At 51.8% G+C, this 15,140-nt stretch overlaps 1 protein-coding gene and 1 pseudogene across 4 annotated transcripts in view; one reads left to right on the plus strand and one right to left on the minus strand.

Annotated features, from left to right (window-relative positions):
- Positions 732 to 15,140, plus strand: part of EIF3C (eukaryotic translation initiation factor 3 subunit C) — a 47,173-nt gene continuing 32,764 nt past the window's right edge. For all 4 annotated transcript variants that reach the window (XM_047434828.1, XM_047434827.1, NM_001199142.1 and 1 more), the window contains exon 1: positions 732 to 1,002. The gene's annotated coding sequence lies outside the window, so the exon portion shown is untranslated. The remainder of the gene's footprint in view (positions 1,003 to 15,140) is intronic.
- CDC37P1 (cell division cycle 37 pseudogene 1) lies at positions 13,373 to 13,740 on the minus strand (annotated as a pseudogene).

A 15,140-nucleotide genomic window follows, 5' to 3' on the forward strand; every position in this document is an offset into this window, starting at 1 on the left:
AGCCTTTCCAGAGGTAACCATTGGATTTATGATTAATCTAAACACTTTATCCATTCTTCTCATTTTGACACACAGAATATTAAGAAGAAATATATTCAACGGTTGAGATTTAATAAAATTGATCATTTTTACTGCTTCAACAAGGACATTCTGAAATGAAACTGTGGCCAGGTGTGGTGGCTCACACCTATAATCTCAACACTTTGAGAGGCCAAGGTGGGAGGATCGCTTGAGCCCAGGAGTTCGAGACAAGCCAGGGCAACATAGTGAGGACCTCATCTTTACCAAAAATAAATAAATAAATAAATAAACATTAGCCGGGCATGGTGGTACACACCTGTAGTCCCAGCTACTTGGGAGGCTGAGGTGGGAGGGTTACTTGAGCCTGGGAGTTCGAGGCTTCAATGAGCCCAGATTGTCACTGCACTCCAGCCTAGGCGACAGAGCAAGAATCTCTCTCAAAATAATAATAGAAAGAAAGAAAGAGAAAGCAAGCAAGCAAGAAGGAAAGAGAAACAAAACTTGCCTTTCCTTTTTTTTTTTTTTTTTTTACCATGAGCACATACTGGTGCCAGTTTTCTATCTGTTGCCTCCCAGTTCCAAATCCATTTATTGCACCGCTTGCTACCAGATGTGGAACTGGCAAACATTTCTTCTTTGCCAGTAGAGGGCGCCGGAGGGACACCACAGGAGGAAGGGGCTTGTCCTGGTTCCTCCTCTGTCCCACCCCCGTGGCAGGCAGCCCTGCACCGGACACACAGTGGCATTCAACTTCCTGCCTGCCAGCCCCAGTGTGTGGTTCCCAGCCTGACAACCTTGGCACCCCAGCACCCCAGCAGGAGGGGTTTCTGCTTGTGGTCCCCTGGCCACCAGCCTCGGCCAGCTGGTTGTGGACCAGCCGTGACCTGGGGCAACCCAGCCAACCTCACCGTCCAATGGGCTGCAGCCACCTCTCTCCAGTGAGGTCTGAGACCCAGCCTTAACGAGGCTACCCCCTTCCAGGTTTGTTCTTTCTCTGGGCTCTCTCCCTCACCCTTTGGGTGTTTTTTGGTTGTTGTTGTTTGCGTGTGTGTGTGTGTGTATGTGTGTGTGTTTGTGTGTTGAGACAGAGTCTCCCTCTGTCACCCAGGCTGGAGTGCACTGGCATGATCTCGGCTGACTGCAACCTCTGCTTCCCGGGTTCAAGCGATTCTCCTGCCTCAGCCTCCCAGGTAGCTGAGACTACAGTTGCGTGCCACCACACCCAGCCAATTTTTATATTTTTAGGAGAGACGGAGTTTCACTATGTTGGCGAGGCTGGTCTCGAACTCCTGACCTCTTGATCTGCCTGCCTCAGCCTCCCAAAGTGCTGGGATTACAGGCGTGAGCCACCACGCCCGGCCCCATGGGTGTTTTTTAGAGCTCTCTTTGATTCACACTTAGTCACAATCCCCTGTAAATAGTTCATTTTTCTGTTAAAACTTCCCTGTTTAAATGACTCTGTGGTTTCCGCCTTGTGAGTGGATCCCGATCGATGTAGCATTATTACAAGAGGGGTGCCTGGAGATAGATCCACAAGGATAGCATTTGGGGACTGGTTTGTCCATGCCCTTGGGTTTGAGCTTTGTCTGAGCTCCAAGGGAATGGGAACTGGACGTCGGTAATCTGTGATGTGCTGTGGCATCGAGTTAATCAGACTGTTGCCTACAGCTTGTCTTTATAAAGTACCAACTCCAGCGCATGTCCCGGGAGCCCAAGTGGCTGCTGTACTTGACTGTGATGTCAATAACGATGACTGTAAGGGCTGTGGCGTGGGACGGATTCTTCTCAGTGCACTGCGTCACTTCCAGAAAGAAAACCACAGGCTTGGCTAGGCATGGTGGCTCACGCCTATAATCCCAGCACTTTGGGAGGTGAAGGTGGGTGGATCACAAGGTCAGGAGAGCGAGACCATCCTGGCCAACACGGTGAAACCCTACCTCTACTAAAAAATTAGCTGGGCGTGGTGGTGCACACCTGTAGTCCCAGCTACTCAGGAGACTGAGGCAGGAGAATTGCTCGAACCTGGGAGGCAGAGGTTGCAGTGAGCCGAGATCGCGCCACTGCACTCCAGCCTGGTGACAGAGCGAGACTCCGTCTCAAAAAAAAAAAAAAAAAAAAAAAAAAAAGTTCCAAGAACTGATAAGTGATTTTAGAAAGGGAGTAGAATACAAATCAATGTACTGTTTCTAAAATGCATGTGGGCCGGGCTGGGCACGGTGGCTCACGCCTGTAATCCCAGCATTTTGGGAGGCCAAGGTGGGCAGATCACTTGAGGTCAGGGGTTCGAGACCAGCCTGGCCAATATGGTGAAACCCAGTCTCTACTAAAAAAACAAAAATTAGCTGGGCGTGGTGGCAGGCACCTGTAATCCCAGTTACTCAGGAGGCTGAGGTGGGAAAATCACTTGAACCGTGGAGGCAGAAGTTGCAGTGAGCTGAGATCATACCACTGCACTCCAGCTGGGGCAACACAGCGAGACTTCATCTTGGGGGAAAAAAGGCACTTAATAGAATGAAAAGATAAGCCATAAATTGGGAGAGAGTCTTTGCGATAATAAGAGTAACAAAAACAATAATAATATCTGGGTCAGGCGGAGTGGCTCATGCCTGTAATCCCAGCACTTTGGGAGGCTGAGGCAGGCAGGTCACTGGAGCCCAGGAGTTCAAGACCAGCCCGGCCAACATGGTGAAACTCTGCCTCTACTAAAAATACAAAAAATTAGCCAGTCCTGGTGGCAGGCGCCTGTAATTCCAGCTACTTGGGAGGCTGAGGCAGAATTGCTTGAACCAGGCGGCAGAGGTTGCAGTGAGCCGAGATCTTGTCATTGCACTCCAGCCTGGGCAACAAGAGTGAAAGTCCATCTCAAAAAAAAATAAATAGGCTGGGCGCGGTGGCTCACACCTGTAATCCCAGCACTTTGGGAGGCCGAGGTGGGCAGATCACGAGGTCATGAGATCGAGACCATCCTGGCTAACACGGTGAAACGCTGTCTCTACTAAAAATACAAAAAAATTAGCTGGGTGTGGTGGCGGGTGCCTGTAGTCCCAGCTACTCAGGAGGCTGAGGCAGGAGAATGGCGTGAACCTGGGAGGCAGAGCTTGCAGTGAGCTGAGATCACACCACTGCACTCCAGCCTGGGCAGCAGAGTGAGACTCCATCTCAAAAAAAAAAAAAAAAATTAGCCAGGTGTGGTTGCGGGCGCCTGTAGTCCCAGCTACTTGGGAGGCTGAGGCAGGAGAATGGCGTGAACCCAGGAGACGGAGCTTGCAGTGAGCCGAGATAGTGCCACTGCACTCCAGCCTGGGCAACAGAGCAAGACTCCGTCTCAAAAAAATATATATATATATAATATATATATTATATATATATATATGGAGCAGAAAAAGCCTTTGTTGGACGAATTTACAAAGCTTGTGCAAATGTAAGGTGTTTAAAGCCTATGGTTGCTGGGCACGGTGGCTCACGCCTGTAATGCCAGCACTTTGGGAGGCTGAGGCGGGTAGATTGCCTGAGGTCAAGAGTTCAAGACCAGCCTGGCCAACATGATGAAACCCCATCTCTACTAAAAATACAAAATTTAGCCGGACATGGTGGCACATGCCTGTAATCCCAGCTACTCAGGAGGCTGAGGCAGGAGAATCGCTTGTACCCAGGAGGCGGAGGTTGCAGTGAGTGGAGATCGCGCCGCTGCCCTCCAGCCTGAGCGATAAGGGAGACTCCATCTCAAAAAAAAAAAAAAAAAGCCTATGGTTATTAACTGTATGATTCATCAGCAGGTACTTTGCACACATTTTTGAATCTGTCATAAGATATTGAACCAGTACTGTCAATTGTGAACTTCATTTGCTTGTGTGGATTTAACTGTCAGTTCCATAAATTTTTGTTAGAAATACAAGCTGAATATCCTGACTTGCCATGCCATACAGTAGTTTGATGTCTTGGAAGTGCTAAATTTTATGGTTTTGATTTGTTTTGTTTTTTTGAGACAGGGTCTCACTCTGTCACCCAGGTTGGAGTGCAGTGGTGTGATCTTGGCTCACTGCAACCTCTGCCTCTCATGCTCAGGCGACCCTTCCACCTAAGGTTACTTCCCTAAGAAACTGGGACTACACACATGTGCCACCACGCCTGGCTAGTTTTTGCATTTTTTGCAGAGACAGGGTTTTGCCATGTTGCCCGGGCTGGTCTTGAACTCCTGGGCTCAAGTAATCTGCCTGTGTCAGCCTCCCAAAGTGCTGGGGTTATACGTATGAGCCACCACACACAGACATATGGTTTTTAACTCCGGGCTGAGATTGAATTTTTTTTTCTTTTCTTTTCTTTTTTTGTTTGAGACTGAGTCTCACTCTGTCACCCAGGCTGGAGTGCAGTGGTGCTATCTCAGCTCACTGCAATCTCTGCCTCCCGAGTTCAAGGGATTTTCCTGCTTCAGCCTCCCAAGTAGCTGGGATTACAGGTGCCCGCCACCACACCTGGCTAATTTTTTTTTGTATTTTTAGTAAGGACGGGGTTTCACTGTGTTGGCCAGGCTGGTCTCGAACTCCTGACCTCAGGTAATCCACCTGCTTCGGCCTCCCAGATTGCGGGTATTACAGGCTTGAGCCACTGCACCCAGCCTGAAATTTTTCTAAATAAGAACCGGGCCAGGTGCAGTGGCTCACACCTGTGTTACCAGCACTTTAGGAGGCCGAGGTGGGCAGATCACTTGAGGACCATCCTCACTAACATGGTGAAACCCCGTCTCTACTAAAAATACAAAAAATTAGCCAGGCTTGGTGGCGGGCACCTGTAGTCCCAGCTACTCCGGAGGCTGAGGCAGGAGAATCGCTTGAACCTGGGGAGGTGGAGGTTGCAGTGAGCCTAGATCATGCCACTGCACTCTAGTCTGGGCGACAGAGCGAGACTCCGTCTCAACAACAACAACAACAAAGAAGAACCACACATAACCACTGCTATCAAACACTGAGAGGCTTTGTTAGCTAGCTTTTGAAGCAGTTTTGATAATATCTCTTAATAATTCAACCTAAAATTATAAGGCAAAACAGCACGTATATGTTTAACGTATGCTGCTGTAAAGTAACTTCATTGATGGTATATTGTTTGAATCACAAGCGATGTCAAGCTGCCTTATACACAGCCCATAATATCAAAGTTAAAACAAGGAGCAAGATGTCCATTCCCATATAAATTTTTAGGAGCTACATTTCCAATCTCAAACTGCAGTTCCAGTAGCATTTTTAGGACTTCAGTGAAATTGAGACACATCTCAAGTGATTAAACCATAATGTAGTGACATGCTAAAAGGCAGATAGCAAGAGAAAAATCCAATCCAAATAGATTTTTTTTTTTTTTTTTGAGACACGGTCTTGCTCTGGTGCCCAGGCCAGAGTGCAGTGGCACCATCTCAGCTCACTGCAACTTCTACCTCCCAGGTTCAAATGATACTGAGCATCAAGTAGCTGGAATTACAGGCACACGCCACCAGGCCTGGCTGATTTTTTTGTATTTTCAGTAGAGAGGGGGGTTTTGCCGTGTTGCCTAGGCTGGTCTGGGACTCCTGGCCTCGAGTGATCCACCTACCTCGGCCTCCCAAAGTGCTGGGATTAAGTGAGCCACCGCACCTGGCCAGAGTCCAAATAGAATTCTATAAATGCCTTTCAAATGATGAATGTGCTCGTGACATCATATGCTTGTGGATTGCTATCTGTATTTGGCAATACCTATCTTCAGGAAAAACTATTTTTGCCAAATCTCATTACAGATTAGAATTAACAGATAAACATTTGTCATAGACTTTGATGATAGGGAACACTAACTTTGTTCTTTTTTTTTTTTTTTTTTCTGAGATAGAGTCTCGCTCTGTCACCCAGGGTGGAGTGCAGTGGTGTGATCTCGGCTCACTGCCACCTCTGCCTCCTGAGTTCAGGCAATTCACATGCCTGAGCCTCTCCAGTAGCTGGGATTACAGGCATGCGCCACCATGTCTGGGTAATTTTTGTATTTTTAGTAGAGTCTGGGTTTTGCCATGTTGGTCAGTCTGGTCTCAAACTCCTGGCCTCAAGTGATCTGCCCGCCTCGGCCTCCCAAAGTGCTGGAATTACAGGCGTGAGCCACTGTGCCCTGCCATAATATACTACTTTTTATCTGTTGTCCTACAACACCTAAAATATTTACTATTTGGCCCTTTACAAAAAACATTTGCCAACCCCTGCTCTAGAAAATGCAAATCAGGTCAGGCATGGTGGCTCACACCTATAATCCCAGCACTTTGGGAGTCTGAGGTAGGCAGATCACCTGAGCTCAGGAGTTCGAGACCAGCCTGGCCAATGTGGTGAAACCCCGTTTCTACTAAAAATACAAAAATTACCTGGGTGTGGTAGTGGGTGCCTGTAATCCCAGCCACTTGGGAGGCTGAGGCAGGAGAATTGCTTGAACCTGGGAGGCGGAGGTTGCAGTGAGCTGAGACTGTACCATTGCACTCCAGCCTGGGTGACAAGAGCAAAACTCCATCTCAAAAAGAAAAAAAGAAAATGCAAATCAACCTATGGTGACAGAAAGCAGATCAGTGGTTTCTTGGGTATGAGGGGTCAGAGAGAGGCAGGTGGGAGAGATTACAGTCACAAGGAGACTTCTGCGTGATGCATACCTTCGCTATCATGATTGTGGTAATGACTTCACGGCTATAGATATAAAATATATGTCAAAACATCAAATTCTGGCTGGACACAGTGGCTTATGCCTGTAATCCCAGCACTTTGGGAGGCTGTGGCAGGAAGATTTGCTTGAGGCCAGGTGTTTGAGACTAGCTTGGGCAATATTGTGAGACCATGTCTCCACCAAAAAAAGGTTTTTTTGGTTTTTTTTTTTTAATTAGCTGGGCATGGTTGTGCACACTTGTAGTCCCAGCTACTCTGAAGGCTGAGGTGGGAGGATGGTTTGAGCCCAGGAGTCCGAGGCTGCAGTGAGCTATAATTGCACCAGCGCACTCCAGCCTGAGCAACAGAGCAAGACCTTGTTAAAAATAAATAAATAAATAAGCTGCGCGCAGTGGCTCACACCTGTAATCCCAGCACTTTGGGAGGCTGAGGCAGGTAGATCACCTGAGGTCAGGAGTTCGAGACCAGCCCGGCCAACATGGTGAAACCCCATCTCTACTAAAAATACAAAAATTAGCCAGGTGTGGTGGCGTGCATCTGTAATCCCAGCTACTCGGGAGGCTGAGGGAGGAGAATTGCTTGAGCCCGGGAGGCAGAGGTTGCAGTGAGCCAAGATCACACCACTGTACTTCTGCCTGGTTGACAGAGCAAGACTCCATCTCAAAAAAATAAACAAAAAACTTGCTCTAGTAGCCAAAAACCTAAGTTGAGTTGCCATAGTGAAGAGTTGTAGTCTCTCGCCTGGATTTTAGACCTAAGTCAGCATAGATCCAGAGTCACTTAATTGGAGAGAAGTTTGGTTCTCCCTGAGAGAGGAACATGCCCTGTTTACTAGAGTGTGCATCAGGGAGAAGAAAATACCCAACCTTTTGAGGATTCCTAGACATTGGCTCTGAATTAACGCCAAGTCCTGAGGATCCAAAATGCCACTGTGGCTCATCACTAAAAGTAGGGGCTTAAAGATAGATGGTCAGGTGCTAGATGGAGTCTTAGCTCAGCCCCAACTCACAGAGGGCTCCGTTGATCTATGGTCCCACCCTGTGGTTATTTCCAAATTCCTGAGAGTATAATAGGAATAGCCATCTATGGCAACTGACAAATCTCCACACTGGCTCTCCCACCCATGGAGTGAGAGAATCATGGTGGAAAGGGCTAAGGGAAAGTTCCTGTAACTTCCACTTCCTGTCAAGACAGTTAACCAGAGGGCTGGGCGCAGTGGCTTACACCTGTAATCCCAGCACTTTGGGAGGCCAAGGCAGGCGGATCACGAGGTCAGGAGATTGAGACCATCCTGGCTAACACGATGAAACCCCATCTCTACTACAAATACAAAAAATTAGCCAGGTGTGATGGCGGGCACCTGTAGTCCTAGCTACTCAAGAGGCTGAGGCAGGAGAATGGCGTGAACCCAGGAGGCAGAGGTTGCAGTGAGCCAAGATCATCCTACTGCACTCCAGCCTGGGCAACAGAGGGAGACTCTGTCTCAAAGAAAAAAAATTTTAAAAAGACAGTTAACCAGAAGCATTATCACATCCCTGGAGAGTCGCACAGACTAGTGCCACCCTCAAAGACTTACAAGGGGCCAGGTGGGGTGGCTCAGGCCTGTAATCCTAGCATTTTGGGAGGCCGAGGCGGGTGGATCACCTGACGTCAGGAGTTCGAGACCAACCTGGGCAACATGGTGAAACCCTATCTCTACTAAAAGTACAAAAATTAGCCGAGTGTGGTGGCAGGTGCCTGTAATCCTGGCTACTCAGGATGCTGAGGCAGGAGAATCCCTTGAACCTGGGAGGCAGAGGCTTCAGTGAGCTGAGATCATACCACTGTACTCCAGCCTAGGCAAAAGAGCGAAACTGTGTCTAAAAAAAAAAAAAAAAAAAAGACTTGAATGGGCAGGCGTTTGGCATATGCTGGTTGGATGGATCTTAGAGAATGACTGTGGACTATGGGAAACTCATTTAGATGGTGACTCCAATTGCAGCTGCTGCCTCACATGTGGTATCTTTAGACAGCAGAAGAAATCAACATGACCCCTAGTGTGGTGCAATGATGTATTAAAGACTCAGTTAAGGCAAGATGTGGTGGCTTACACCTGTAATCCCAGCACTTTGGGAGGCCAAATCACTTGAGGTCAGGAGTTTGAGACCAGCCTGGCCAACATGTAAAACCCCATCTCCACTAAAAATATGAAAATTAGCCAGGCGTGGTGGCGCATGCCTGTAATACCAGCTACTCTGGAGGCTGAGGCAGGAGAATCACTTGAATCTGGGAGGTGAAGGTTGCAGTGAGCCAAGATCATGCCACTGCCCTCCAGCCTGGGCAACAGAGCAAGACTCTATCTCAAAAAAATAAAGACTCAGTTAAGGCACCACTGGAGAGACCACACCCCAGAAAGAATGGTTTGGGTTTTTTACCCCGCACAGAGGCTGGGATTCTTTTTTATAGCATGCACACTACTATCTTTTTTTTTTTTTTTTTGAGACAGAGTCTCACTCCTGTTGCCCAGTCTAGAGCGCAATGGGGTGATCTCAGCCCACTGCAACCTCCACCTCCTTGGTTCAAGAGATACTGCTGCCTCAGCCTCCTGAGTAGCTAGGATTACAGGCATGCGCCACCACGCCTGGCTAATTTTTTTTTTTTTTTTTTTTTTGCATTCCTAAAGTGCAAACTTTATTTGAGTTTTTTTTTTTTTAATTTATTTTTTTATTGATAATTCTTGGGTGTTTCTCACAGAGGGGGATTTGGCAGGGTCATGGGACAATAGTGGAGGGAAGGTCAGCAGATAAACAAGTGAACAAAGGTCTCTGGTTTTCCTAGGCAGAGGACCCTGCGGCCTTCCGCAGTGTTTGTGTCCCTGATTACTTGAGATTAGGGATTGGTGATGACTCTTAACGAGCATGCTGCCTTCAAGCATCTGTTTAACAAAGCACATCTTGCACCGCCCTTAATCCATTTAACCCTGAGTGGACACAGCACATGTTTCAGAGAGCACAGGGTTGGGGGTAAGGTCACAGATCAACAGGATCCCAAGGCAGAGGAATTTTTCTTAGTGCAGAACAAAATGAAAAGTCTCCCATGTCTACTTCTTTCTACACAGACACGGCAACCATCCGATTTCTCAATCTTTTCCCCACCTTTCCCGCCTTTCTATTCCACAAAGCCGCCATTGTCATCCTGGCCCGTTCTCAATGAGCTGTTGGGCACACCTCCCAGACGGGGTGGTGGCCGGTCAGAGGGGCTCCTCACTTCCCAGTAGGGGTGGCCGGGCAGAGGCGCCCCTCACCTCCCGGATGGGGCGGCTCGCCGGGCAGGGGGGCTGACCCCCCCCACCTCCCTCCCGGACGGGGCGGCTGGCCGGGCGGGGGGCTGACCCCCCAACCTCCCTCCCGGACGGGGCGGCTGGCCGGGCAGAGGGGCTCCTCACTTCCCAGTAGGGGCGGCCGGGCAGAGGCGCCCCTCACCTCCCGGGCGGGGCGGCTGGCCGGGCGGGGGGGCTGACCCCCCCCACCTCCCTCCCGGACGGGGCGGCTGGCCGGGCAGAGCGGCTCCTCACTTCCCAGTAGGGGCGGCCGGGCAGAGGCGCCCCTCACCTCCCGGACGGGGCGGCTGGCCGGGCGGGGGGGCTGACCCCCCCCACCTCCCTCCCGGACGGGGCGGCTGGCCGGGCAGAGGGGCTCCTCACTTCCCAGTAGGGGCGGCCGGGCAGAGGCGCCCCTCACCTCCCGGACGGGGCGGCTGGCCGGGTGGGGGGGCTGACCCCCCCATCTCCCTCCCGGACGGGGTGGCTGGCCAGGCTGAGGGGCTCCTCACTTCCCAGTAGGGGCGGCCGGGCAGAGGCGCCCCTCACCTCCCGGACGGGGCGGCTGGCCGGGTGGGGGGCTGACCCTCCCACCTCCCTCCCGGACGGCATGGCTGGCCAGGCGGGGGGCTGACCCCCCCACCTCCCTCCCGGATGGCACGGCTGGCCAGGCGGAGGGGCTGACCCCCCACCTCCCTCCCGGATGGGGCGGCTGGCTGGGCGGGGGGCTGACCCCCCCCACCTCCCTCCCGGACGGGGTGGCTGCCGGGCGGAGACGCTCCTCACTTCCCAGATGGGGTGGCTGCCGGGCGGAGACACTCCTCACTTCCCAGATGGGGTGGCTGCCGGGCGGAGAGGCTCCTCACTTCTCAGACGGGGCAGCTGCCGGGCGGAGGGGCTCCTCACTTCTCAGACGGGGTGGTTGCCAGGCAGAGGGTCTCCTCACTTCTCAGACGGGGCGGCCGGGCAGAGACGCTCCTCACCTCCCAGACGGGGTCTCGGCCGGGCAGAGGCGCTCCTCACATCCCAGATGGGGCGGCGGGGCAGAGGCGCTCCCCACATCTCAGACGATGGGCGGCCGGGCAGAGACGCTCCTCACTTCCTAGATGTGATGGCGGCTGGGAAGAGGCGCTCCTCACTTCCTAGATGGGATGGCGGCCGGGCGGAGACGCTCCTCACTTTCCAGACTGGGCAGCCAGGCAGAGGGGCTCCTCATATCCCAGACGATGGGCGGCCAGGCAGAGACACTCCTCACTTCCCAGACGGGGTGGCGGCCGGGCAGAGGCTGCAATCTCGGCACTTTGGGAGGCCAAGGCAGGCGGCTGGGAGGTGTAGGTTGTAGTGAGCCGAGATCACGCCACTGCACTCCAGCCTGGGCACCATTGAGCACTGAGTGAACGAGACTCCGTCTGCAATCCCGGCACCTCGGGAGGCCGAGGTTGGCGGATCACTCGCGGTTAGGGGCTGGAGACCGGCCCGGCCAACACAGCGAAACCCCGTCTCCACCAAAACCAGTCAGGCGTGGCGGCGCGTGCCTGCAATCGCAGGCACTCGGCAGGCTGAGGCAGGAGAATCAGGCAGGGAGGTTGCAGTGAGCCGAGATGGCAGCACTACAGTCCAGCTTCGGCTCCGCATGAGAGGGAGACCGTGGGGAGAGGGAGACGGAGACGGAGACGGAGACGGAGAGGGAGAGGGAGAGGGAGAGGGAGAGGGAGAGGGCATGAAAATAGGAAATGTGAATCCTCCAACTTTTTTTTTTGGAGACGGAGTCTCGCTCTGTTGCTCAGACTGGAGTGCAGTGGCACTATCTCAGCTCACTGCAAACTCCATCTTCCAGGTTCAAGTGATTCTCCTGCCTCAGCCTACCAAGTATCTGGGACTACAGGCAGGTGCCACCATGCCCGGCTAATTTTTGTATTTTTAGTAGAGATGGGGTTTCACCATGTTGGCCAGGCTGGTCTTCAACTTCTGACCTCAAGTGATCCACCCTCCTCAGCCTCCCAGCGTGCTGGGATTACGGGTGTGAGCCACCTCATCCAGCCTCTTTTTTTTTTCTTTTAATATCTAAAATCCTTTTTAGAACATCATTGCTGTTTGCCAAATAGAAGACACAGACAGCAGATGAACAGTGGAAACAGAACCCGGTGACCTGAGCCACCTAGTGGCTGGGGACCCTCCCCTCTACCTGGCGGACCAGCCTGGCGACCTCTGCCCCTCCCCGGGCCCCTGGGCCTTTGGCATGATGCTGATGGGGCGCTGTGGGCAGTGAAGTCCCTTGACTCAAAGCAGAGACTTGAATGGGTGCTGGAGAGTGGGGACAGTGGAGAGGGCGGGGAGGGGGAGAGGGCAGGGAAGGCCTGGCAGGCCCCCAGGGCTAGGGGGAGCAGCGGAAGTGGAGGAAGCCAGGAGCTGGGGAGATGGTGTCTATTTTTGTTTTCTGAAAAGGGGCGCCTAGGGGCTTGCACACAGGTGGCAGCTGCAGCTGGGGTGGGTCACGCACTGACATCCCCGCCTGTCTTGGGAACAGCTTCCAGCAGCCGGTCCCTGAACACTCCTCCTCTCCCTCCTTGGCCTCGCTGACCTCAGAGTTGGGGACCCGGAGGCCGGCGTCGATACACTGCTGCATGGGGAACTTGGCCTTGGTGGGGTCCATCTTGCTGCATTTGCGCGTCCTTCGCATTGAAGCCCTTTTGGAGTTCCTCAGGGGGGAACTCGTCACCTCCACGGGTTCCAGGCCATCAGGGCCAAGCTGCTTCTTGAGCTCCTCCTCCTAGTACTCCTGCTCCACCTGCTTTCTAGACGCGCAGCTTGGCGCAGCCCCGCACAGGCTCCGTGGAGGCTTCCAGCTCGTCCTTGAAGCTCTCCATGCACTAGCAGTCAGCCGTCTGAATCTCAGTGAAGAACTGCCAGAAGCAGACCCGGGGGACCCCTTCCGGCTCCTGACCAACACCAGGTTGAACTGCGTGACAATTGCCTAGTGGACCACCTGCTCCATGAGGGCGCATTTCTCCTGCACCTCTAGATCAGCACACCAGATGACCAGGTAGTTGACCATCTTCTCATCAGGCTTGGTGTTCACCATGCTCCTGCTAAAGCCGTCTTTTCTTTTTTTTTTTTGAGACGGAGTCTTGCTCTGTCGCCCAGGCTGGTGTGCAATGGCATGATCTTGGCTCACTGCAGCCTCCGCCTCCCGGGTTCAAGCGATTCTCCTGCCTCAGCCTCCCGAGCAGCTGGGATTACAGGCGCCCACCACCACGCTCAGCTACTTTTTGTATTTTTGTAGAGACGAGGTTTCGCCATGTTGGTCAGGCTGGTCTCAAACTCCTGACCTCAAGTGATCGCCCCGCATCAGCCTCCCAAAGTGCTGGGATTACAGGTGTGAGCCACCTCACCCAGCCTGAAACTGCTTTTGCTGAGCGTGTCCACGTTCCAGGTCATGCTCTTTTTCTTGGGCATCTCCTCCAGCTTTTGCTCCCAGCTCAGCTCCTCGTGTAGCCACTCCACCTCCACCCTGGCACCCTCTGACACCTCCAGCTCCTTCAGCTTCCTCTGGCACTCGGCCATCTTGCACTTGTACTCCCAGCAGCCCCTGTCCAGTTCCTCCTTCTCCTTCTGGAACTGCTCCATGAGCTCCACCCGGGCTTGGTGCTGCCAGCGGAAGAGGTTAGCCCGGTGGGTGTTGGGATGCCTCTCCTCTTCATCATCGCTCAGTGTGGCCCCACACGCTGTAGTCCAACATTTTGCCTCTGCGACCCAGCTAACTCCCTGAACAGTGGTTCTCAGTGAGGTAGTACTGCCCCCTAGGGCCATTTTGGAAGCTTGTTTGTGGGGGCTTTGATCTCACTGTGAATGTGACAATGTCCTTAGAGGGAGAGAGCAAAGCCATCCTGCCATGCACAGTATGGTCCTGGATGAAGAGAGATTCTTCTACGTTTGAGTGGTTTTTTTAATATCCCCGCCAGACATCCAACAATATGTGCTAAGAATCTAACTTCATTTTACATATGAACCCAAAGTCGCTTGTTTTGTTTTGTTTTAGATAGAGAGTCTTGCTTGGTCACTCAAGCTGGAGTGCAGTGGCGCGATCTCAGCTCACTGCAACCTCCGCCTCCCAGCTTCAAGCGATTCTCCTGCCTCTGCCTCTTGAATAGCTGGGATTACAGGCATGCACCACCAAACCTAGCTAATTTTTGTATTTTTAGTAGAGACAGGGTTTCGCCATGTTGGCCAGGCTGGTCTCGAACTCCTGACCTCAGGTAATCTGCCCGCCTCAGCCTCCCAAAGTGCTGGGATTACAGGCATGAGCCACTGCGCCCAGCCTAAACCCAAAGTATTTCTTGCTTGGTTTTAATATACACTGAATTTTTCAAGAATTCGACTATCGTGTATTAGTATGAACTAAATGTTTGTGTTCTCCTGCCAAATGCATATGTTGAAGCCCTAATCCCCAATGTCATAGCATTTGAAGGTGAGAAGGTGAGGCCCTTGGAAGGTAATTGGGGCTAGATTACGTCATGAGGGTGGGAGACTTCATGATGGTATTAATGCCCTCACAGAAAGAGAACGAGACAAGCAATCTCTTTCTCCACCAAGTGGGGATATAGCAAGAAGGCAGCTGTGAGCAAACCAGAAACAGAGCCCTCACCAGACACCAAATCGGTTTTGCCAGCACCTTAATCTTGGACTTCCCAGCCTCCAGAACTGTGAAAAATAAATATTGTTTTTTAAGCCACCCTGTTTATGGTATTTTGTTATAGCAGCCTGAGCTGACTAAAATCTCAGGTCATTGAAGGAAGATGTATTTTGCTTCGTTGGGATCTTTACCAAGAGCTGTACTTGGACAATTCCTTTACTGAAGGCAACACACACATTAAAATCCATTGCTTACCAGCTGCACTGCAGTGCCTCAGTCACCATGATTCTAAGTATAAAAATGCTAAGTATAGGCCAGGTACAGTATCTCATGCCTGTAATTTCACCACTTTGGGAGGCTGAGGCACTCAGATCACTTGAGATCAGGAGTTCGATTCCAGCCTGGCCAACATGGTGAAACCCTGTCTCTACTAAAGATACAAAAATTAGCTTAGCATGATGGTGTGTGCCTGTAATCCCAGCTACTTGGGAGGCTGAGGCAGGAGAATCGCTTGAACCTGGGAGGCAAAGGT

This window comes from Homo sapiens, chromosome 16 (genome assembly GCF_000001405.40).
Source record: "Homo sapiens chromosome 16, GRCh38.p14 Primary Assembly".
NCBI classification, from domain to species: Eukaryota; Metazoa; Chordata; class Mammalia; order Primates; family Hominidae; genus Homo; species Homo sapiens.